This window comes from Homo sapiens, chromosome 16 (genome assembly GCF_000001405.40).
Source record: "Homo sapiens chromosome 16, GRCh38.p14 Primary Assembly".
Taxonomy (NCBI): Eukaryota; Metazoa; Chordata; class Mammalia; order Primates; family Hominidae; genus Homo; species Homo sapiens.
Window position 1 is genome coordinate 75317877 of NC_000016.10, and position 26018 is coordinate 75343894.

General features: G+C 43.4%; 1 protein-coding gene across 2 annotated transcripts in view, besides 1 other annotated feature; it reads right to left on the minus strand.

Moving 5' to 3' along the window:
- Nucleotides 1-26018, minus strand: part of CFDP1 (craniofacial development protein 1) — a 139794-nt gene that overhangs the window by 24167 nt on the left and 89609 nt on the right. The window lies entirely within an intron of this gene.
- Nucleotides 1757-1926: an enhancer, noted in NCBI's record as "active region_11128". NCBI's record gives its function as "activates an Ori minimal core promoter by ATAC-STARR-seq in GM12878 lymphoblastoid cells {active_cell/tissue: GM12878}" and the evidence as "EXISTENCE:reporter gene assay evidence [ECO:0000049][PMID:35858748]".

Consider the following 26018-nt stretch of genomic DNA (forward strand, 5'->3'; position numbering starts at 1 on the left):
GAGGTGGGTAGATTACCTAACGTCAGGAGTTCGAGACCAGTCTGGCCAACATGGTGAGACCCCACCCCCCATCTCTACTAAAAAAATACAAAAAATTGGCCAAGCATGGTGGTACATACCTGTAATCCCAGCTACTCAGGAGGATGAGGCAGGAGAATTGCTTGAACTTGGGAGGCAGAGGTTGCAGTGTGCCGAGATCGCGCCACTGCACTCCAGCGCGCCACTGCACTCCAGCCTGGGTGACAGAGTGAGACTCCGTATCACAAAAAAAAGAAAAAGGTCAATGACCCTTCTCAAGGAGAACTGTGCTCTGCTGTGACTGTGACTGGTCTGTGCTGGTCTGACGGCTGGAGCCACACACTCTCATGAACATTCCCCTGATCGTTCCCATCAGGGACAACATGGCCAGGCAAATAGCACATCTCGCCAACTAAGTCAACAGGACAAAGCACTGGGCAGAAGATCAATATGCCTCAGTGGTGTGTTGTTTGGCTGACTGTTGATTAGGGAGTTGGCATGCTTTCTTTCTTTCTTTTTTTTTTTTTTTGAGATGAAGTCTCACTCTGTCGCCCAGGCTGGAGTGCAGTGGCACAGTCTCGGCTCACTGCAACCTCCGCCTCCTGGGTTCACGCCATTCTCCTGCCTCAGCCTCCCCAGCAGCTGGGACTACAGGTGCATGCTGCCATGCCTAGCTAATTTTTGTATTTTTAGTAGAGACTGGGTTTCACCGTGTTAGCCAGGATGGTCTCGATCTCCTGACCTTGTGATCCGCCCGCCTTGGCCTCCCAAAGTGCTGGGATTACAGGCGTGAGCCACTGCGCCCGGCCGGCATGCTTTCTTAAATATCTGCATCCTGCTTTTAGACTTTCAGCTTTCTTTTTTCTCCCAGGGATGCATGTCTCTGTCTCTTCATAAAAAAATCTGAGGATATTAACATAAATTTTAAATTCTTGGGCACCTCTCAGGTTGAGACTAGGCTAAAGTTTTGGGATACAGGGGTGTCCTCAGTCAAATCAGAAATAATTCCTTACATCATAGACACCTCTCTTAAAACAAGTCATGCCTGCCCCTTTCTAGAAATGAGAAGGCACATTAAGCACATAGCTTTAAATGAAACTCATAGGAGCCGAACACATTTTGCAAAATTACTCCCTCTCAATACCAAACTTACTTTATTTATTTATTTTTTTGAGATGAAGTTTCTGTTGCCAGACTGGAGTGCAGTGGAGCGATCTCGGCTCACTGCAACCTCTGCCTCCCGGGTTCAAGTGATTCTCCAGCCTCAGACTCCTGAGTAGCTGGGATTACAGGCACATGCCACCATGCCCAGCTAATTTTTGTATTTTTAGTAGAGATGGGGTTTCACCATGTTGGCCAGGATGGTCTTGATCTCTTGACCTTATAATCCACCTACCTCGGCCTCCCAAAGTGCTGGGATTACAGGTGTGAGCCACCACGCCCAGCCCCAAACTTCTAACTGCTACTAAATAAGCATGCAAAATTCCAAATGAGGAGGAGATAGACATTGGACACAGCTGTGATCCTTGACACCTCAAAGTTACATCTGGGGTTGGGGGGGAACGTGCTTTATGGTCGTTGCATTACACGAGACTGAAGTGGTGAAGGTCATTTTTCAGCACTTAGCGCTCCTGCTAGGGTCCTGACTCCCAAATCTACTTTCTCAGTGGCATCCGCAACATCGTTTGCTCACTCAGTTGCCAGGGTAGCAGCTCTGGCCTCCTAGAGGCCACAATTCTACTAATATCAATGGGAAAACTTAATGAGGCTCAGATCCCAACCTGCCCCTCTTCCTCCAGAGGCAGCTTCCACTTCTCCTCACAAAGCTGGGATATGGCATCATCAGCGTTCCCCCTGTGGTGCCACCCCTCACAACCCAGGATTTAAAGAGCCCTTAGGAAGCAATCATCTATACAAGGGTGATCACAAGAATGGGGTTACTTAAGCATGAGCCCTAAGTGTCACTTTGCTAAGGCAATACAATGGATTTCAACAAAGAAATATTCGTTTCCACGTAGTTTGATACTGAAAGCAGAAAACTTTCTTTTTACTGCATGCAGGAAATGGTTTTCATAGAGGCTAACCACAGCTGAGCCATCTGTAAACCACAACATTGTTTCTCTTTAACAAATGGAAGATTTTTACCCACGGTATCACTGACCATCAAAAAGAATTCCCATCCTCCATCTCTAGAGCAAGAGAAAACGGTAAGTAGAGTTTCTTTCCTTAATCTGCTAGCCAGGGGTTGCTAAAACAGCCTTTTCATTCAGAAATGTAGTTTGTCCTCCAAGGTTCATCCCATCCCTACTGCTAGGAGATGTATGAACCCTTAAACAAGTCCAGTTTCTTTGCATTCTGAGACCCCCTCGGAGCATGCGCTTTTATGTGACCATGACTCACACTGGGTCATAATGTAAAACGTGTAACTATGACTGAAGGCCAAAAAGTTTGAAAAAGATGCTTTAGCGTTAACTGGCTGGCAAACGAAGAAGGTCTGCTGAAACAAAGTTGGCTGCTCTGCCAACAGATTGTTTGAAGGAAAACTAGTTAAAAAAAAAAGAAAAAAATCAAGTGCAATCAACTAAAGTAGGGCAGACCCTTCCATTCTTTGATTTTTCCCTGTGTATTAGCCATTTGCTTTGGGAAACTTGGCATCACGATCTCCCTGCTGTGAGAGCAAGGCCTCTGACCCAGGGCTCCTCACCCCAGACTGTGAGAGTGTGTGATTGACACCCTCTCCTGGGGGACGAGTGGCTTTGCTATGGCCTTCCAGTCACCGTGAGGCTCAGCTGGTGACTCTGCAAGGATTGCATGAGTGTGTTCATTGTTCTCACTGTTCAGATGAAGGAAAGGGGCTCAGAATATGGGACATTGATGGTCTCATGTGAATTAAACAACTGAAATGAGGGGGACTCATGCAAATAAAAGAACAAAATCCAAAAACATGACCTGAGTCACACCAAGGAATAGTTTCCCTCTAAGAATGAAGAGAAACAAGAACCCAAATATAAGCTACTAAATGTACTTGTACTCTGGAAGAATGCTGGAAAATCTGATGACTTACTATTTCTTATTCTCAGCTAGTATTTTTTTTTTAAGAGATGGGATCTTGCTGGTTTTGAACTCCTGGGCTCAAGTGAACCTCCTGCCTCAGCTTCCTGAGTAGCTGGGAGTCACAGGCACACGCCATCATGCCTTGCTCAGCTAACAGCTAATACTTTAATATTTTAATAAATTATTATTATTATTTTTACAAGACAAGATCTCACTATGTTGTTCAGCCTGATCCTGAACTCCTGGGCTCAAGGGATCCTCCTACCTCGGCATTCCAAAGTGCTGGAATTACAGGCGTGAGCCACAGTGCCCAGCCTGGCTAATACTTTTTATAATAGCTTTACTGAGATGTAATCCACATTCTAAAGATTTCACCTATTTAAAATGGTACAACTCAGTGGTTTTTAGTATATCCATTACCACAATCTCATTTTAGAAAATTGCCACTCCTGCCAAAAAGCCCCTTATATCCAGTAGCAGTTACTCTTCATTCCCCTCACCAGCTCTTGGCAACTACTAATCTACTTTCTGCCTCAACAGATTTACCTATCTCTCAGGTAATACTTTAAACCAAGCTTGTCCAACCTGCCTTATTCTGTTATTGTTTTGTTTTGTTTTGGGCTTTTACCAGCCTGAAGCCATGTTTTTCAGTTTCTGCCTCTAGTGATAAGCGGAAAAGAGGGGTGAGGAAGGGGCTTTATGGGCCCAACCAGAAACAGAAACTAAGAACTCATGACTGTATTCTCTCCCTTGGACACCCCTGCTTTAAACCATAAATTTAAGATTATATATAAGCATCCAGAAGAAACAACACATCTCTCAGTTGGTATCTATCACAGCCTCCTATAGGAAACACATTTAAACTTTCCTAATTTGTTTTCTTTTTCTTTTTCGAGACCAAGTCTTGCTTTGTCGCCCAGGCTGGAGTGCAGTCGTGCGATCTTGGCTCACGGCAAGCTCCACTTCCCAGGTTCATGCCATTCTCCTGCCTCAGCCTCCCGAGTAGCTGGGACTACAGGCGCCCGCCACCATACCCGGCTAATTTTTCTGTAATTTTAGTAGAGACGGGGTTTCACCGTGTTAGCCAGGATGGTCTCGATCTCCTGACCTTGTGATCCACCCGCCTCGGCCTCCCAAAGTGCTGGGGTTACAGGCGTGAGCCACCGCGCCCAGCCTATTAAACTTTCCTAATTTGTTTTCTACATGATGGTCATGCATACATTTTGTAAGAAGAATCAGAAATCTAGTCTTTACACAGGAATATTAGAATATCTGGGCATTGCTTGTAAAGTGAAGTCCCAGATATCACCAACACTATTTCGGATCTGTGTTTTTAAAGCACTTGGGTACAGTGGCTTTGCAGTCAGTGTAGAAACCTGTCCCTCCCACTTAATAAATTTTTATTTATAGTCATGTGTTGCTTATGTTCTGAGAAATGTGTTAGGTGATTTCATTGTTGTGCCCAACATCACAGAGTGTACTTACACAAACCTAGATAGTATAGCCTACTACAGGCTTACATTGTGTGGTAAAGTTTATTGCTCCTAGGCTACAAATCTGTATAGCATGTTACTGTACTAAGTACTGTAGGCAACTGTAACAGAATGGTAAGCATCTATGTCTAAACACATCTAGACCTAGAAAAGGTACAGTAAAAATATGGTACAGTTGAGCATCCTAAACCCAAAAATCTGAAATCTAAAATGTTCCAAAATCCAAAATATTTTGAGCACTGACATGACACTCAAAGGAGCATTTCGAATTTTGAATTTCCAGATTTGGGGTGCTCAACCACTAAGTAGAATACAAATATTAAAAAAAAAAAAAATCCCAAATCGGAAACACTTCTGGTCCCATGCATTTTGGGTAAGGGATACTTAACCTGTGTATAAAAGATAAAAAAAGGTACAGCTGTATAGGAAGTTTACCATGAATGGTGGAACCCGCAGGACTGGAAGTTGCTCTGGGTGAGTCAGTGAGTGAGTGGTGAGTGAATGTGACGGCCAAGGACATTACTGCACACTACTGTGGATTTTATAACCACTGTACACTTAGGCTACAATACATTTATTTAGAAAATTTTTTTTTCTTCAATAAAAATTTAACCTTAGCTTACTGTAACTTTATAAACTTTTTAATCTTTTAAAACTTTTTGACTGTTTTTTAGTAATGCTTAGCTTAAAACATAGCACAGCTGTAGAAAAACTTTCTTTATACCCTGTTTCTGTAAGGTTTTTTTCTATTTTAAAATGTTTTCACTGTTTTTACTTTTTAACGTTAAAAAAAAAAAAACTAAGACAAACACACACATTAGTCCAGGCCTACACAGGGTCAGGATCATCAATATCACTGTCTTTGACTTCCTTATTTTGTCCCATTGGAAAGTCTTCAAGAGCAACGTGTCTGGAGCTGCCATCTCCTATGACAACAATGCTTTCTTATGGAATCCTTCCTGAAGGACCTGCCTGAGGCTGTTTTACTTAACTTTTTTTTTTTTTTTAACAAGTAGAAGGAATACACTCTAAAATAACAATTTAAAGTATACTATAGGGCTGGGTACAGTGGCTCACGCCTGTAATCCCAGCACTTGTGAAGGCCGAGGCAGGTGGATCACCTGAGGCCAGGAGTTCAAGACCAGCCTGACTAACATGGTGAAACCCGATCTCTACTGAAAATACAAATTTGCCGGGCCTGGTGGAGCGTGCCTGTAATCCCAGCTACTCCAGAGGCTGAGGCAGGAGAACTGCTTGAATCCAGGAGGTAGAGGTTGCAGTGAGCCGAGATCGTGCCATTGCACTCCAGCCTGGGCAACAAGAGCGAAGCTCTGTCTCAAAAAAAAAAAAAAAAGTATACTATACATACATAAAACAGTAACATAGCTGTTTATTCTCTTTTATATGACTGGCAGCATGGTAGGTTTGTTTACACCAGCATCACTGTGAACACACGAGTGGTGTGTGACTGTATTTATTTTTACTCTGGGCAAGTTAATTTCTCTGAGTCTCAAGTAAGTAACCAATTAGTAAAATGAAGATAATAAGAACTACCTTGCAGGGTAATGATTAAATGAGATATTCATCAACTCAGCCCTTATCGTTGAGTGCCTTCAGTGTGCCAGACTCTTTTTTGGCCACTGGAGATAGACAGATTTCTTACCCTCATTTAATTTATTCACAAGATAAAGATACACAAACAAGCAATTACATTAGGAGAAAACCATTACACAGGAAGTGCAGTAGAGCATAAGAGTCTGAGATGGGGAAAGCTATAGAGAGGGTGGGGGAGGTGTCTGAGAGTTGAAGGATGAGAAAGAATTTGCCAGGGGGACGAGCTGGGATAGAGAAGTCCACAACGAGGCAACAGGCACTGAGATGTGTGTGAATGCACTTAGCATAATGCCTGGTGCACAGCAGATCATCAATACCTCCTGTTGTCCTCACTCTTATCCTCTTGTGTTATGAAAAAAACTCACTCTAGAATCCAGAAAGAAATTTTAAAAATTGTTGTTGCTGGCTGGGCGCGGTGGCTCATGCCTGTAATCCCGGAACTTTAGGAGGTCGAGGTAGGTGGGTCACCTGAGGTCAGGAGTTTGAGACCAGCCTGGCCAACATGGTGAAACTCCGTCTCTACTAAAAATACAAAAATTAGCCGGGAGTGGTGGCAGGCTCCTGGTAATCTCAGCTACTCGGGAGTCTGAGGCAGGAGAATCACTTGAACCTGGGAGGTGGAGGTTGCAGTGAGTCGAGATCACACCATTGCACTCCAGCCTGGGCTACAGAGTGAGACTTTGTCTTAAAAAAAAAAAAAAAAAAATTGCTGCTGCTAGGAAAGATTAGTGGAGCTGGGACTCAGAAGTTGCTTGTTCTTTTTTCGAGGCTAAGTCATCTTTGGCAGCAAAGTGTATTTTAAATTTTGGCGGTTTCTTTCCCCACAAACTTTTGATTTTGAGAAATTTCAAGCCAAGAAACGTTGGTCTCCTTTAATTTAGAACAGTCCCCTTACCTGTAGAATGGCCTGCTCTTTGGAATTGTCTGATTGTTAATTTGAGCTTCTTTGATGGCATATGGGAGTCTTCTAGCATGGAAAGTCCTTGGACTTTTCTCCATCTATACCCACTCTTTGGGTGACTGCATCCAGTCCCAAGGCTTAAATACTATTTGTATGCCTATGACCCCCAAATGTCTTACCTTCAGCCCAGACTCTAACTCCAGCTTTATATACCCAACAGCCTTGAGGGCCCTAGTCTGCTCTGCCTATAGCCTTGCACATCTTAGTTGTGGGGGACAACATCTGTCCAGTCCTTACCTCCCAGACTTCCTCTCCTAGCACAGCCCCTTGTATAGTCCCCTTCAGGCATGCATCTACCTTAGAGGCCTTGCCTCAAGCTATTCCTTCTGCCCAACGACTGTGCCCAGTTATCCCCTTGACTAACTTCCTGACCTCTTTCAAGTCTGGTCAAATCTCCATTTCTCAATGAGGCTTATGCTGATCATCCTATTTAATACTGCAAGCTTCCTCTTCATCCCACATACCTGGTCCTCCTCCCTTCCTCTGATTGTCTTTTCTCTATCACACTTAGCATTTTCTAATGTATCCCATAATTTATTTGTTATGTTTATTCTTTTACTGTCTATTTCTCTGCTGTAGTGGAAACTCCACAAGGGCTGGAACGAATGTCTATTTTGTTCACTGATATAACCTAAGCACCCGGCAGGGTGCCTGGCACTTGGTAGGCACTCAAAAAATATTTGTTGAAAGAATGTATGGATCTTGGGAAACCATATCAATGTCATACATTATAAATCCCAGTGAAGTGATACTGATTAAAGTAACAACTCTGCATTGGCTAACCTCTTAGTTGCTACTCAAGCTAGCTAGGTTTTCTACAGGGGAACTAAGTACTTCAGAGCAAGCACAGGGAACCATTTATTAATTGCAACAGACATTCTTGAATGGCTGTCAATAGCCTGGAAATTGTCCTAGGCTGGCTTAGGCACCTCTCATGAGAGCCTGCAGAACGTTCAATAATCTTGTCATTAATCTGAGGTACAGGGTTTAAGATATCTTAGTTGACAAACAAATAAGGGACAGAATTAAGGAGAAGTCTGGATAAATTTTTTCTTTGCTCTTTGTTTTTTGGTCCATGAAAACAGAATTTTGTGGAAAAGTGATATTGGAGTCATTTTATGTGAAAATGAAGCTCTATAACAACCAAGTCAGGGGACCTAATGAAAGACTTTTGTGTGCCAAATGAGTTTTTCCCCTTGACACTGGCGACACTGCAGCCGGGTTGCTTTTGTTTGTTTGGTTTTGGAGGGCTAGTTTTAAAGTCATGTACACTACTACGTTATGAGCCAGGAGCAACGCCTTAGTCCACTCTGGAAGCTAAAAACCAACACTGAATGGACATAATTGGAGCAATTATCTCACTCAATACTCAGTCAACTGAACAACTCCTCGTCAGAATCTGCCAGAAAGAATTAATTTAGGTGTACAAATTTGCTACAGGCAGCAAGCTAAGCTGCAGAAAAGATGGCCACTCCCTAAAGCTCTCACATCCTGCCATGGCAAGGTAAGAGAATTATGCAGACACAAACTTCCTCTCTCGTTCAGTGGTCTGAGCTGGGGAGCACAGTGAACAGGTAAGGTGGCTAACAACAGCTAGAAAAAGACACAAAAAGGAACTGGTGCTTCTTACTGCTGGGGACCGTGGTGCCTGGTAAGAACGTCAGGGATAAAAAGAAGAGCCTAAAATCTTCCAAGGAGAGCGGTAAAATGTGGTCATATATACAGATTCAAGACATCCAAATGGCTTCAGATTTCTCAACACTAGAAGCTAGAAGACTGACGGTGAAGCAATGGCCTCACAATTCTGAAGGGAAAGCATCTTTCACCTATAACGTTATACCCAGAAAACCACAAATAACATGTGAAGGGAGAAAAAAGTCATTTTCAGACATGCAAAGTTTCAAAAATTTAGCTCCCATAAACCTTTTCCTGAGGAAGTTATTAGAGGATGAGTTCTATCAAAACGGGAATAGGCCGGGCGCAGTGGCTGACGCCTGTAATCCCAGCACTTTGGGAGGCCGAGGCGGGCGGATCATGAGGTCAGGAGATCGAGACCATCCTGGCACACGGTGAAACCCTGTCTCTACTAAAAATACAAAAAATAGCTGGGCGTGGTGGCGGACGCCTGTAGTTCCAGCTATTCGGGAGGCTGAGGCAGGAGAATAGCGTGAACCCGGGAGGCAGAGCTTGCAGTGAGCCAAGATAGAGCCACTGCACTCCAGCCTGGACGACAGTGCAAGACTCTGTCTCAAAAAACAAAACGAAACAAAAAACCAGGGGAATAAACCTGGAAGACATGGAATCCAAGAAACAGAGTTCCACAAAGAGGAAGAAAAGGCAGTCCCAGAACAAGAGCTGCACAGAAAGCAAAGAGAACAAAGAGCCCAGACTTGTGCAGGAGAATGGAAGGCCCCAGAGGGATGTTACGGGGAATGGGGGAAGGGGACAGAAGGTGAAGGATGGGACTGACAAATTATAGAATACAGTAGAATAGTATAGACTATAGTAGAATATAAAGTATGGTAGAAAGAGTATTCAGAAGGATTTTATGGCTTTGTTGAAGAGTTTGGGAAAAAAAATTGTGATGGGGACAGAAAACCATCCAGCCAATCAAATATACACACATATACATGAAAGGGAAAATAAAAATAGTCCATGCCATGGCTCAGTAGTGAACAATACTGGATAATCAGGTCAACGCCAAATTATTATTATTATTATTTTGAGACAGTGTTTGACTCTTGTCGCCCAGGCTGGAGTGCAATGGCGCGTTCTTGGCTCACTGCAAGCTCTACTTTTAGGGTTCAAGCGATTCTCCTGCCTCAGCCTCCCGAATAGCTGGGATTACAGGTACCCGCCACCACACCTGGCTAATTTTTTTGCGTGTATTTTTAGTAGAGATGGGGCGTCACCATGTTGGCCAGGCTGGTCTCGAACTCCTGACCTCAGGTGATCCGCCTGCCTCGGCCTCCCAAAGTGCTGGGATTACAGGCGTATGCCACAGCACCCGGCAACACCAAATTATAATGTAATAGAACTGGAAGAATGGAAAGAGAACTGGGATGTTGAGGGGCAGGAGGTGGTATGAGAGTGTTAAATCCTCTTCTAAAACAGGAATTGGTACTTGATTTTTTTTTTTTTTTTTTTTAAGAGACAGAGGTCTCACTATGTTGCCCAGGCTGGTCTCAAACTCCTGGCCTCAGGCAATCCTCCTGCCTTGACCTCCCAAAGCACTGGGATTATAGGCGTGAGCCAGGAATTAGTATGTTTTAAAAGCTAGAGCGATGGCCGGGCATGGTGGCTCATGCCTGCAATCCTGGCACTTTGGGAGGCCGAGGCAGGTGGATCACCTGAGGTCAGGAGTTCGAGACCAGCCTGGCCAACATGGTGAAACCCCGTCTCATCGAAAAATACAAAAAAAAAAGAAAAAAAATAGCTGGGTGTGGTGGCAGGCGCCTGTAATCCCAGCTACTTCGGGAGGCTGAAGCAGGAGAATCGCTTGAACCCGGGAGGCGGAGGGCGCAGTGAGCCAAGATCATGCCATTGCACTCCAGCCTGGGCGACAAGAATGAAACTCTGTCTTAAAAAAAAAAAAAAAAAAAAAAAACTAGAGTGGAGGAAGTCAATAAATACTGATAAATAAAGAAATAGCAGTATAATAAGCATAATTTTTTTTTTTTGAGATGAACTCTCACTCTGTCACCCAGGCTGGAGTACAGTGGTGTGATCTTGGCTCAATGCAACCTCTGCTTCCTGGGTTCAAGCAATTCTCCTGCCTCAGCCTCCCGAGTAGCTGGGATTACAGGCACATGCCACCATGCTCAGCGAATTTTTTTTTTTTTTTTTTGAGATGGAGTTTTGCTCTTGTTGCCCAGGCTGGAATGCCACAGCACAACCTTGGCTCACTGGAACCTCCACCTCCTGGGTTCATGAGATTCTCCTGCCTCGGCCTCCCGAGCAGCTGGGACTACAGGCATGCGCCACCATGCCTGGCTAATTTTTTTGTATTTTTAGTAGAGACGGGGTTTCTCCATGTTGGTCAGGCTGGTCTCGAACTCCTGACCTCAGGTGATCTGCCCGCCTCGGCCTCCTAAAGTGCTGGGATTACAGGCATGAGAGCCACTGTGCCCGGCCAACTTTTGTATTTTTAGTGGAGACAGGGTTTCCCCATGTTGGCCGGGCTGGTCTTGAACTCCTGACCTCAGGTGATCTGCCTGCACTGGCCTCTCAAAGTGCTAGGATTACAGGCATGAACCACCACGATCAGCCCAAGCACAGAATTTTACAATATGGACAAAAATACCAAAAGAAACAGCTAAGAGTTTAAAGTGATTGCCCCTGGCAAGTGGACCCAGGACTGAGTCAGGCAATTGTACAGTACATTCTGACTTTTCAAATTATGCATCCGTGTGACTTTGATGTTAAAAAAAAAATCCGTGATAACCAGTTTGGCTTAATTGATCTTAGTCTCTTGGCTGCTACTGCTTCTTTTTTTAAGAGACAAGGTCTCACTGTAATCAGGCTGGAGTGCAGTGGCATGATCATAACTCATGGCAGCCTTGAACACCTGAGCTCAAGCAATCCTCCTGCCTCATTGGCTTTCCTAATTTTGAACATGTGCTGTTTTATCTCTGCTACTGTTGTCACTTAACATGTTTCTTGTTTATTCCTAATAAAGACTGTCTACATGTGCAATCCTTTTTATAACATCAAAGTACCTGAAGAGAGTTGTATTTGATAGCACCCTATGTATAGGTCATTTATCAATTTGTTTTAATGAATTTATCCACTCAAAATGTCTTACATTCTTACTCAGTGCTAGCAACCATGCTGATGCTAGGGATACAGAAGAGTAAGCATGGTTCCTGTTCTTGGGGAGCTATGGCCCCTGACAGTGCCTGATAAATACCAAGAATGAATTCCTCTTTCCTCCTCCTCCCTCAAACACCTGTTATATTTTTTAGTGTTTTTCAGTGCTAAGAACCACGTGCTTTAGAATCCCCAGAGGTTATTAGAAATGCAAACTCTAGGGTTACTTCCCTGACCCCAAGATTCTCAGGGAACAGAGTCCCAATATTTGCATTTCACTAGCAGCGCACTAAGGGTTGAAGGCCACTGCTGTAGCGAAAGCTCCTGATATTCCTCAATGACCCACATGACTACTTCAGTAATTATCCACACATTATGGCTTGGAGATAAACTGAAATGGGCAAGGCTGTGGACTCAATTTAGGTCAGCTGGACCTAGTCATTAAGACAGCCTGAGGCTAGTTTTCAAAAATAATGATAAGCCTGGGACAGTGGCTCACGTGTATTATCCCAACACTTTGGGAGGCCAAGGCAGGTGGATCACTTGAGGTCAGGAGTTCAAGACCAGCCTGACCAACACGGTGAAACCCCATCTCTACTAAAAATACAAAAAAATTAGCCAGGCGTGGTGGCGCATGCCTGTAATCCCAGTTACTAGGGAGGCTGAGGCAGGAGAATCACTTGAACCCCAAAGGTGCAGGTTGCAGTGAGCCAAGATAGCACCAGTGCACTCCAGCCTGGGCAACAAGAGTGAAACTCCATCTCGAAACAAAAACAAAAACAAATGATGAAAGTTTGGCTTCAGGACAGAGGTAAGGCCAGGATGGAGAGGTCTTTCTTCTACAGCTGGTTTTGAATTCTCTTCCTTAGGAAAAAACACTCAATTTATTGCTCTTTTCCATTGGAAAAGCTATGCAGAATCATATTTATTTCTTGGTAATTCTGTATGCTAAGTAGACTATAAAGAGTTTACAAGTCTTGTAAGATGAGAATGTCTTTCATTTTACTAATTATCAAGTTCCATTGTACATCCCCAAGTACACTGAGTCCAAGTAGCACAATTTGCTATTATTCTGAAGGCTGCCTCTGAGGCAGACAGGCCAGTCCTTATGATAAAATGAAGCAAATTCCAATTATTAAAAAAAAAAAAAAAAAAAAAAACACAAAGTGGGCCTTATTCACCAGGGCTACCTCAATGGGCAATGGGACTTATTTCACAGCTATTCAGGACAGGCCTCCTCTGCCACAAGGCTCTGCTTGCCTCTGCACCTGCCCTGTTCCAGTGGGGGCCAAATGCAGTTTGTGTCCCTCTCTCCACATCAGAATTCGTGCAATGACAGCAGGGGAGAAGGATGAGCAGCCAATGGCTCAGTCATTTTCATCTTTCCCAGGGTCCTCTCCTCCCTTTACTTGGCATCAAAACTTACATACAGTGAAATGCACAGATTTTTTAAAATTTTGATTTTTATTTTTGTAGAGACAGAGTCTTGCTATGTTGCCCAGGCTGGTCTCAAATTCCTGGGCTCAAGCAAACCTCTCACCTCGGCCTCCCAAAGTGCTGGGATTACAGGCGTAAACCACTATGCCCAGCCTGAAATGCACAGATTAAAGGTACTATTTATCTCCCATCAGTTTTGGCAAATGTATACCCCTATGTAACTCATACCCACAGTCAAAATATAGAACATTTCCACCATCACAGAAGTTCCCTTCCCAGTCAATTCCCCACCCTCCAGCAACGACTATTCTGATTTTTATAATCACAGATAAGTTCTACCTTGTTTTGAACTTTATGTAGATGGAATAATACGTTATTTTTTTCTTTTGTGTCTGGTTTCTTTCATGCAGCACAATGTTTTTGAGTTCATCCATGTTGTGTGTTCCTTGTTATTGCCACACTTTGTTTATCCATTCTCCTATCGATGGACACCTGGTTGTTTCCAGTTTTACACTATCAGGCTTGTATAGCTTTTGTAGAGATGTTTTCATTTCTTTTGGATGAAAACTTAGAATTGCTGGGTCATAGAGTGGGCGTATATTTAACTTTAATGCCAAACAGTTCTCCAAAGTTAAGAACTCTCACACGTTATAGTCCTACCATCAGCTATGTATGTTTTAAGAGGTTCTGGCTGCTCCATATTCTCACCAATATTTGTTGTTACTCAGTCTGTTTCATTTTAGTCTTTTCAGGAGTATAAACTGAGATTTACTATGATTTTAATTTGCATTTCCCTATTGTCTAAGATGATGAACACTTTTCATGCGCTTCTATCTTCCTTTGTGAAATGTCTGTCAATTTTTTTGCCATTTAGAAAACTGAGTTCAGACAGACCCCACCCTCTACGAAAAATAAAATTAGGCCAGGTGCGGTGGCTCACGCCTGTAATCCCAGCACTTTGGGAGGCCGAGGTGGGCGGATCACCTGAGGTCAGGAGTTCGAGACCCGCCTGGACAATATGGTGAAACCCCATCTCTACTAAAAATACAAAAATTAGCACGCTGTAGTGGCACGCACCTATAATCCCAGCTACTCAGGAGGCTGAGGCAGGAGAATCACTTGAGCCTGAGAGGTGGAAGTTGCAGTGAGCAGAGATTGTGCCACTGCACTCCAGCCTGGGTGACAGAGTGAGACTCCATTACAAAAATAAAAAGTAAAATAAAATAAAATAAAATAAAATAAAAAATAAAATACAGTAGCTCGATGTGGTGGTGCTTGTTTGTGGTCCCAGCTACTTGGGAGGCTGAAGTGGGAGTATCCTTTAAGCCCGAGAGGTTGAGGCTGCAGTGAACCATGATTGCACCACTACACCACAGCCTGGGCAACAGAGCAAGAAAACCCTGTCTTGGGGAAGGAGAAAAAAAGAGTTGTCTATATTTTTTATATAGTCAGTTCTATATATATTTATATATAAAAACATATTTCAGATATATATTTTACAATTTTTTTCTGTCTGTGGCTTGCCTATTCATGTTCTTTTTTTTTTTTTCCTTTTTTTTTTTTGAGACAGAGTCTCGTTCTGTCACCCAGGCTGGAGTACAGTGGCGCGATCCCAGCTCACTGCAACCTCCGCCTCCCAGGTTCAAGTGATTCTCCTGCCTCAGTCTCTGGAATAGCTAGGATTACAGGGCCCTGCCACCATGCCCGGCTAATTTTTGTATTTTCAGTAGAGATGGGGTTTCACCATGTTAGCCAGGCTGGTCTCGAACTCCTAACCTCAGGTGATCTGCCTGCTTCGGCCTCCCAAAGTGCTGGGATTACAGGCGTGAGCCACTGCGCCCAGCCAGCCTACTCATGTTCTTTTTTTTTTTTTTTTTTTGAGATGGAGTCTCGCTCTGTCGCCCAGGCTGGAGTGCAGTGGCGCGATCTCAGCTCACTGCAAGCTCTGCCTCCCAGGTTCACGCCATTCTCCTGCCTCAGCCTCTCGAGTAGCTGGGACTACAGGCGCACGCCGCCACGCCTGGCTAATTTTTTGTATTTTTAGTAGAGACGGGGTTTCACCGTGTTAGCCAGGATGGTCTCGATCTCCTCACCTCGTGATCCGCCCGCCTCGGCCTCCCAAAGTGCTGGGATTACAGGCATGAGCCACCACACCCAGCCTATTCATGTTCTTAATGACATCTTTCGATGGGCAGAAGGAGGATTATTTGCATGGCTACTAAGTCAACAAAAAAGGAAAAAAGTAGTAATGTCACAGATTTGAAGAAAGAAAATGATCAGCATTTCTTCTTTATTTGCTTTTAGAAGCCAATTCTCTATCTTAGCAAATGTAGAACCATTATACTTATTGCAGGCTAAATTTTAAAAGACAAAAATATTTGATGGATGCCCCTTTCAGATATATGCTGTTCTGCTGAGCCAACGGTGATCCCAGGAAATGGCTCTGTCAAATGAGAATTAGGAAGGGAAGTCCTGAAATGCCACAGACTGTCATCAAACCAGAAAGTTGTTACTGTTTTTTTGAAATAGAGGGAAGTAAAAAAAGATGAAGAAAGGAAGTCTTTAAAGCCTTTCATACCACATTCTGGTTTTTAAGACAGCCCATTACTTTTTTTGCTCTCTCCACAAGCGATTCAAAAATAAGGAAGGAAGTTATGGTGGTTAGAGCAAGGCGTGAAGATGCCAAGACTTCTGGGCTGCCCCCACCCTGGATAAATCAATCCTTCACATTTTCTACTTCAGTGACTGAGACACAGAGAGACCAATTTAACTCTGTGAGAGGCTGTGAGCATTATTAATCATGAATGTTCTGCCAGAGCCTCTGTGCAACAGAGGTATGGAAATACCAGCTACCTCAAGATCATCTTCAAGGGCCAATCATTGCCAGCCCCACCCACTCTCACACATCCAAGACTTGACTTGCCTCCTCCTCGCAGCACCCTAACCCTAACCCTAACCCTAACCCTAACCCTAACCCTGCAGCTAAGCAAACGTTTGCTTCTTTTTTCCCCTTCTGTAATGAATTAATCCCAACAAAACCCTTTAAAACAACAGACGGGTAAAAAGGACCGGGAAAGACGATGGTAATGAGGATAAAACTGTACGGCAGTCCCACCTGTCGAGACAATCCGGCCAGCCCGAAGTGCTCTAGAGAACATCTGCACTTTCCTGGGATACAAGCCCCAGAAATAGGCTACTAGATGGCCAGCTGACCTAGAGCTAAGCAGAAGCCATCAGCTGGAGGCAGCGCAGAGGGTGGAGGAGGTTTCTATAAAGGAGGGAGGAAGAGAGAAGGGTGACTTAGGCATAAGTCTCTTGCCCCTCTTTTACTATTCATGTTGAAATCTGTCAAGACAAGGCTTACGAAGAAACCAAAGCACAAGCTAAACCTTATGAAATTGAAATCTAGAAGCCAGGTGCAGTGGCTCACATCTGTAATTGCAGCACTTTGGGAGGCTGACGCAGGCGGATAACTGGAGGTGAGGAGTTCAGGACCAACCTGGCCAACATGGCAAAACCCAGTCTCTACTAAAAACACAAAAATTAGCCAGGTGTGGTGGTGCATGCCTGTAATCCCCGCTACTTGGGAGGCTGAGGCACAAGAATCGTTTGAACCCCGGAGGTGGAGGTTGCAGTGAGCTGAGATCATGCCACTGCATTCCAGCCTGGGCGACAAAGCGAGACACTCTGCCTCAAAAAAAAAAAAGAAAAGAAAAAAAGAAAAGTCTGGAGACAAAGCAAAACATCTATTCAGTAGGTCAACTGATAGACTAAGGGCATGTGTGTGGAAGCTGAGATATGGCTCATGTACCCCTAAAATTATTCTTCATGTGGGTTACAGTCCACGGACCTACCTAATCCTGTGATCATTCTATTTCAGGCTGGTCTTACCAGCTCATAAATGTGGTAAGTTCCCCCCTGGTTGGGCTTCAAACGCCCTGAGGTATCTTGATTTACAATTACGTGTTTGGGCTATTAGAATATGACATAGTAACTTGTTAGATGTCTTGTCAGTGCCCCTTTGCCCTTAGGGGGAAAAATAACTTAAACCTTTATTTGGCTTATGTTCGTGGTCAAAATTCAAAATGATCAAAAAAGGACACACTGAAAAAAATCTCCCACCCTTTTCCCTTCCCACCAAATTATTTTTTCTCCAAGGCAACCACTGTTACCAGTTTCTTATGTGTCCATCCGGAGAGATTCTCTGCATATACAATCATTAACAGTTCACAGACTATCTCCCCTTCAACTGATTTCCTACTTTATCTATAAGCACTTTTGACAAATCTCCATTTTTTTTTTTTTTTTTTTTTAGACGGAGTCTTGCTCTGTTGCCCAGGCTGGAGTGCAGTGGCACGATCTCGGCTCACTGCAAGCTCCGCCTCCCGGGTTCACGCCATTCTCCTGCCTCAGCCTCCCGAGTAGCTGGGACTACAGGCGCCCGCCACCATGCCCGGATAATTTTTTGTGTTTTTAGCAGAGACGGGGTTTCACCGTGTTAGCCAGGATGGTCTCGATCTCCTGACCTTGTGATCCGCCCGCCTCGGCCTCCCAAAGTGCTGGGATTACAGGTGTGAGCCACCGCGCCTGACCAAATCTCCATGTATTTAGCTTACATTTGTGTCTGGAAATAAAGCTCTGCAAGCAAGAGTAAAAAATACCAAGGATATAGTAGCGGTTCGACCTAACACAAAAAATAGATGACTGACTTCAAAATGACAGAATTGGGGGGAAGACAATTAGAAGGGGATGAAAATAATCTAAATGAAATTAATATAAGCCTCCCCCAAATAAGTGGGGAAAAAAATTGCAGCTGCCCCTCTGCCCTTTTCTTCTTTCCTACTATCATCATCAGAATCAGTATCACTTAGGATTTTAGTTGTTATTAAGCAAACACTGAGCACTTTCTCTCAGCCAGACAGACATTGTTCTAGGAGGTGGAAATAGAGCAGAGAACAAGACACTGCCCTCAAGGAGCCAAATGCTTGTGGTGCAGATAGGTAGCACAGGAGCCTGTGTGAAGATGCTAGATCCTGGCAGGCACAGGAGTTAAGGGGGCAGGGAAGTTGGGCTGCAGCTAGAGTGCCTGGGGAGGCCTCTCTGAGAAGGGACAGTTGAGAGCTCAGTGATGAGAGGTAGGGAGCAAGAACATTGTAAGCAGCAAGAACGGGCAGTGATCCTGAGCACAATCTGGTCAGAAACAGAAAAGAGAGTTTGGCTTTAGCCGGGAGAAGACCCTCCACTTCTTCCTTTCCTGCACATACAAACAATGCATATACCCCTCTTTAACAACTTAAATGGCTGTATGCCCCTTCACTATTCTGCTCCTAGCTTTTTCAATTATCTACCATGTATTTCAGGGATCATTCCCGATCAGCACACAAAACATGTCCTCATTCTGTTAAAGCTGTATGTTATTCCATTGTAGGGAAGAACCATAATTTATTCAACAGTGGTTACTGCTGGACTGCCAATGGCAATCCTGTGCTACTACAAACATGGATAGCCACACCCTTGTCAAAAGTGTTATTTTAGGATTTCTACCAATATGGTGAAAAATGGCACCTCCTTGTCATTTAAATTTGTCTCTTTATTAACAAAATTTAGCATCTTTTCTAATGTATGAGCCATTTGTATTTCCTTTCTTGCGAGCTGTTGGTTCCTTGCCCTTTAAAAACTGGACAGTTGCTATGTTTATTGATTTGTAGGGGATCTTATGGAAATCTGCACCTTGTTTGGCTCTGAGTTGCAAATAGTTTTCTCCTGGTTTGCTGTCTTTGTTTATGGCGGTCTCTGCCATGCACAAGTTTTTAAAAAAAATTATGAATGTATCATTGTTCTAAGCCTTTGAAGGATGTTGTCTCAGTTAAAATGAACTTCCTACTAAGGCAGGTACTACTCTGCTCGCTGATGCGAATGATCCAGCTGAAAGGGAGAAGACAGCAATGTGAGAGGGACTAAGTGCAGGAATGATGACACTGGGAGAGGGAGCGAGGCCCGGCACAAAGGTGGAGCAGCGGCCACAGGCAGTACCACAAGGCAGGCAAGATCCATGGGTACTGGCACTGGAAGGATGGTGGAGTCGCTGCTTCCAAACTCTCCCTCCTCTTTTCTTAGCCAAACACAGAGCTACTTTGAGGCGCAGGCCATTAGGCTTTACTGACCTTTGCCCCTCCTTATTGCTGCCACAACTAACCTCTCCAGTCACTCAATCCCCTGTCACTGACTGTATTAGTCCGTTCTCACACTGGTATCAAGAACTACCAGAGACTGGATAATTTATACAAAAAAGAAGTTTAATTGCCTCATGGTTCCACAGGTTGTACAGAAAGCATGGCTGGGAAGGCCTCAAGAAACTTTCAATCATGGCGGGAAGGGGAGGCAAGCACGTCTTACATGGGTGGCGCAGGAGGAAGAGACAGAAGTGGGAGGTGCCACACACTTTTAAACAACCAAATCTCATGAGAACTCACTATCACGAAAACAGCAAGGGGGAAGTCCATGCCCATGATCCAATCACCTCCCACCGGGCCCCTCCTCCAATGCTGGGGATTATAATTGGACAAGAGATTTGGGCGGGGCACTAATCCAAACCATATCATTGACCAACGACTTCAGCACTTGGGAGGAGTTTGCTCGTTTTCCCTTTTCCTCTCTTTCAAGTGACTTCAGTATCCACAGATGATCCAAACCTGGCCTCAATTTTTTCAACCTTCTCAGAGCCAATCAACTTTGTCTTTCACCCAGCTCAGCCACTTATTCACACGGCATTCTCTCATACCCAATGAAACTGCTGCAACTTTTACTTCAAAGGTTCTGCTCTCTGTTCATTTCCTCTTACCCTTCTTAGCTTGGATACTTTTGTACTTCCACTGAACTCAATGGCAAATCCAGGAGACAGGGAGAATTTGGAAGCAATGATGGGTTACAAAAGAGACATTTACTTCACCTCTCACTCTTGGGGAATGTGAAGCATGGGGGGGAAAAAGAGCCTCTGCCTGAGGTTGCTGCAGGTGGCAGTGTTTCCAGGGGACCACTGGGCCATTTCAGAAAAGGCAAGAAGATAAAGGGATCATTCATCAAGGAAGCAGAGACTGAAAGGAACCAATGGGTTCTAGTGTGTACACAGAAGCAGAGGATAGGGAGGGGTTGGAGAGGGGTCCATTCAGGGAATGTTCAGGGCAGAGTACAGATGAGCATCTTAAAGATGAGCATGATCTGGAGGACTGGATTTCTGGTGACAACTGCAATGGATATCAGAGCACAGTGTGAATGAGAACTTCTGGGTGGCTGTTTCTACCTGCGTCTAGTGATGTCACTGCTGTTGAGAGCGTGCAGCTGCTCACTTTCCAGAGGGTTACTGACCTAATGCATTTTCTGTTTTTTTGCTCATCTATTCTTTTTGATCCCCCCCTTTCATTTTTCTGGACAACATCCCTTGATAATTCTATAAAATAGGGATTATGAATGAGAAACTGAGTTCCTGCACACCTGAAAAATGTCTTCATTTGCCTTTGATATCTAAGGGATAGCTTCTGTGGGTACAGACTCTTAGGTTCTGGACTATGCTATTTCAGAACTCTGAATATGTTACTTTATCATCCTCTTGCGTGTTACCAGAAGACTCTGATGCCAACTTGATCCTTGATATTTTATAGGCTGGCCAGTTTTCTCTCTCTGGACGCTTCCATTATATGTGTACAATTTGAGTCTTCTTAAACTCATAACTTCACAGTGGGCACTCAGTGTTCCCTTTCAATCTACAAATTGTTGCTTACGTTCTGGGAAATTTTCTCCCATTATTTCATTGGTTATTTGCTCCCTCCTCCACTGTCTCTGTCTCCTCCTCCTAGAACTCCTACTAGATGAACACTGGAACTTCTGAAATGAGCCTCCTTATTGTATTCACTTTTCTGTCAGCCTTTCTATCTCTTTGTCTTATTTTATATTCTAGGACAATTCTTTGGCTCATTCGTCCTGCTCACTTTCTTCCTTTAGTTGTATCCATTCTGCTACTCAACCCTTTAATGAGGTTCTAACTAAAGGATCATGTTTTATTTCCAAGGTCTAGGAAATAAAAATCATTCTTTTTTCTTATTTCATGAGTGCAGCATTCTCTTTTTATCTCTTTCAGGGATAAATTCACTTCCCTTAAAGTCTTCTTTAGGTTCTTATTAGGATCCTCCAATGTGAGCTTTTCAGTTTCTTCAGTTTGGTGTTTCTTTTATGATGGTTTGGCGACTGTTATGTGCTTGCTCATGGCTGTCTAGATCCTCGGTGTGTAAATGCTGCATTACTTCACCACTGCCAATCTCCATCGGTTACAGGGGAAGGGCAGGATATGCAGGGCTTCTGGACTCTGACTTCCACCTTTAATTTGATTCCCTCAGCCTTCTGCCCTTTAGGAATTCCTCAGATTTCTAGACTTCTCAGGATGCTTCTTTTCTTCTAGCATTGCCAGGACATATATCTAACATATTAGGGATTTGGGGCATACATGTGATGCATGTTCAGTCTGCCAACTTGAGAGCCATCTTAACAGGAGCCCTTCAGCACTCACCAGGTAGAAGCTGTTCTAGATATGAACCACTAATACCAAGGATCTTATAGTGGAAGACAAAGATTCCTTAAAAATCTTTAAATGGCACATGGAGAAGATGTCTTAAGATGATCAATCCATTTTCTTTGCTTTGCTTACCAAACAAATCTTCCTGTTACTTTTTATGATTTTTCTGGTTTTGTTTATTATTTTCTCATACTAGTTTTTGCATGCCTCAATAGGACAGACTCCTCTAGTTACTGAAATAGTAATTTTAAGTTAATAAGCAAGCATTTGAGTTTTGTAAGACAAATGTAACGCCAGCCTTATGATTGTCATGAATCAATTCATCGCAATCTAATCGACTGATAAAATCACATTTCCAGGACCGCAATGCTCCTACGATGATCCTGTAACAGAGGTATCGACAACAACCCTGGAGCCTCCTTCAAATTATGGGACATCACCAACAATCAATCACTAAGAGAAGAAATAATTTAGAAGAAGAATTCATTTTTGGTTACTCAAATATAACCCAATTTAAAGGAGACTGTTATTTCTCTTCTCTAGTAAGCTACAGACAGGATCTGCTCCCTTTAATAAGATGCTTGGTTAATAACATTTATTTACAGAGTAAAATTTTCTCATTATTTCCCTCCACACTAAAATATTTACATAAACTCAAACCACTTATGTTGCCTATTCCAACCAGTTTCTTGTCAGAGTGAGTAGGAAAATTCTTCATTAAATGTCATTGCCTTTGGGGTAAACAGAACATAAATAAAAAACCAGTTTTATTAAGGTTCTGCAATAAGAGGAACTATTTTTTGGACGAAATTTCTTTCTGCAAGTGAAGTTAAAGTTTTAAGAAACTTAAGAAAGAGAAGCCCATTGATAGACGCTCTACTTCTCTGTCACAGATTCTTTTCTGTCTTCTGTTTTTCATCTGCTGAGTAAGAAAAGAGTTAACTTATAAATGAGAGGAATGTTGTTTCAGCTCTACAGAAAGCTTTTAAGGATGAGGTCAATGCGAGGACCAGCTTCTTCATTAACTCATTAACAAGACAGGTCACTGTGGCCTCAGGGTTCATTTATCAGCAGGAAAACCTCAGCTGGTAATGGCTGGTTGTTTCCTGCACCTCTCAAAATTCCAAGCAGAGAAGTAGACTCCATTGTGAGTCTGTTTCCTGACTTGGAAGTAAAAAAAATATTTTCATGATGACCATTCTTTTCTCAGGCTGGAGTTACATTTGGCCCAAAGACACACTGGGCATGCACAGTGCTTCCACTCCCAGAGCACTTTCTAATGCTTTCTTCCCTCTCCAGTTAATTATTCCTAATGATGCTATGTGCATCTCATTGGGTCTTCCTGACAAGGCACCAGTTTTTAAATGAATTTTTATGTAAATGTTAATGGCTGTAAATTAGGCAAGTTGCAGCAGTAATTGCCCACCCGTCCACCTGCACCACATACCACCAGCTACAATTCTCTTTGACAGCTGCTGTTCTTAACTGGGACCTACTATTCCTAGTCCACAGTGGGATTCAAAGTTATTAATAACCCTATGGCAACCTAACTGGCTTTGCTATAATGTTCAGAAAGGTTTTCTTTTGTTTGTTCCTAGCATCTACCTTGGAGGAAGGAAATTATGAAGAGATTATCTTGAGGCTGTCAAGAGAAGATTGGTAGTTTTTCTCCAAAATAAGAGATTGGCTAGATTAGCAGAGAGTTTAAAGCAAAACTTCAAGGGAACCCTCTCAGTGAGGGGATTATAAATGCAACTCCTATGTCTGGCATTGCTCTGGCAATTTGGGAAGGCTTCTTTGACAGCAGAAGGTTTCAGCAGAGTGTAGAAAGGAAAAAAAAAAAAGGCCTGACCCTGCAATGCTGACACACTTTCCACAGCTCCAGCCATAGCATTTCTGGGGGAGGCCAAGCTGTCCTGTTCTCTTTCTTCTTCTTGCTTTAGTATTTTCCACCGTTTCTAGGACTCCCTTTCTGTGCTCAGTTTATTGCTGTACTCAAGCAGCCAGGTAACGAGGCAGTGTGGTTCCATGGAAAAGTAACTCTAGCTGGAGCAATCAAAAGACCTAGGTCTTTCGACTCTGTTCTGGTCCTTTGCCTCTCTTAACTTCCCTTTCCTGCAAAAGAAGCAGGTCCCTGTGGTCTCTTTCTCTTCTAAAACTCCAGTGGCATTTTATTAATTCCTAATATTTGTATAGTTCACACATTCCAAGTTAAATAGCTTTTTTAAGGATGTACCTCATCCCTGAATATCACAGGCCACACCAACAGATGTTTCCAAAGGCCAGCACATTGCCAAAAATTCACTGTCAGGATTGATTTGTGGCTTCTGCTATGCCAATGATTTTATAACCCTCTGTTAACATCGAAGTTTACTTTTTACTTTAAGATGTAGAGAACACTGGTGCTTTTGAATTACCATTGCTGGAAAAGTCTGGGATGTATTGTTTTAAAAAATTGCTACTTGCTACAGTCACAAATCCTTGTTGGCACTCCTGTCTGCACTAGTATCCTTCCTCATTTGCCAGGAAGAAAAAGTCAGTATAACAGGAACTTATGTATCCAAAACTCTGCCATGTCTCAGCTTCAGAATAGCTTTGGCAAAGTAGATTGTTTTCTTTACCAGCTGACTCATTAACAGAAAGGCTGTAAAAGTTTGTTTACTTGGAACAAAAGGGGCAGGTAGTAAGGAGGTCACTGCTGGCTCATCACTTCCCACCCCTAATGGTAGCCAAAGCCAAATGCAGAGTTAGAGTTCTGCCTGGCCCTGTACATCTGCACACGTGGGCTCTATCTGCATACTACAGCGGAAAAAAAACATCCTTTCTCTAGGCTCTTACTTGGGGGAAGAAGAACAAATATTTTGAGGTTAGGTGGCTAGGTTAAGAATCAGCAATCTTCCTCTTGCCTTTGGAAGAAACCACAGGGCAGTGATTCTCAACCTTGGGTCATTCTGCCCTCAGGAAACATTTGGTACAGTCTGGAGAAATTTTTGGTTGCCACAATCTGGGGAAGATATTACAGACATCTAGTGGGTAAAGGCTAGGGATGCTGCTAAACATGCTGTAATGCACAGGACAAAGAACTATCCAGCCCAAATGTCAGTGGTGCTAAGGTTGAGGAGTCTGCCCTAGGTGAGATGGCACCCCCTCAATCCAATGGGGTCACTGGAGATCTGCTGCATGGAGGATGGCAGTCTCCCTGGTAAGGCACTCTGAGCTCCCTGGAAGAAAACAACTAGATTTAAGGTCAGGACTATTAGTGAACAAACCCCATAGGTACCAACTTCTGGTTGTTCTTGGGGAAGACAGAGACTTGCTTTGTCCTCAGAAAAATGGAAAAAAGTCCCTGGGCTAAACTGCAAGGCTCTACTACATGACACTAAATAAGTTAAAAAATGTTCCAGCAAAAACTCCTTTACATTTTAGCTCTTTAGAGAACAAAATGCTGCTGGCACTAGATAGCAGGCCTCTCCGCACATGCATGTTCTCTCTTGCTGAATAGCAGTTCCTCTGTTGAGGATTCCACCTCTGAGCAGTCCTCAAGGAGTCGTGGAACAGCCTGGCTATGGTTTCCTTACACTAAATGTGTTGACTCCATTTTTTTCCAGCAAAAAAGGTGCAGTTAGTTCCACATCATGTAGATGAGAAACAAACACTAATGGAACAGTTCCAAGATGGAAAGGAAATGTAGAGAAAATGTATGTGTATGACAAAACAGCTAGGCCAATTCCCAGTCATTTGAGGGGGTTGGGGGACACAAGGCCTCAGGGCACCTGGGGAAGCCTGGAAAAGAGTTCATGACTTCATCACTAGCTCAATTATTTTACAAGCTTCCAAAAAGAAACTAGGCAGTAAGTTTCAGAACTGCCTTGGCCAGTAAACTAAAAATGGTCAATATCCTAGCACTGACTAGCCCTAGTCATACCACTCACAGTAACTCAGTTAATCAATGCAGGGTCATCTCGCGCATGAAAGGCTGATTTCCTAAGAAGGCAAAGAAAAGGAAATAATTCTGTAGATGATCTGGTAGTTGAGTAGACGGGGCAATACATAAGCATGCGACATT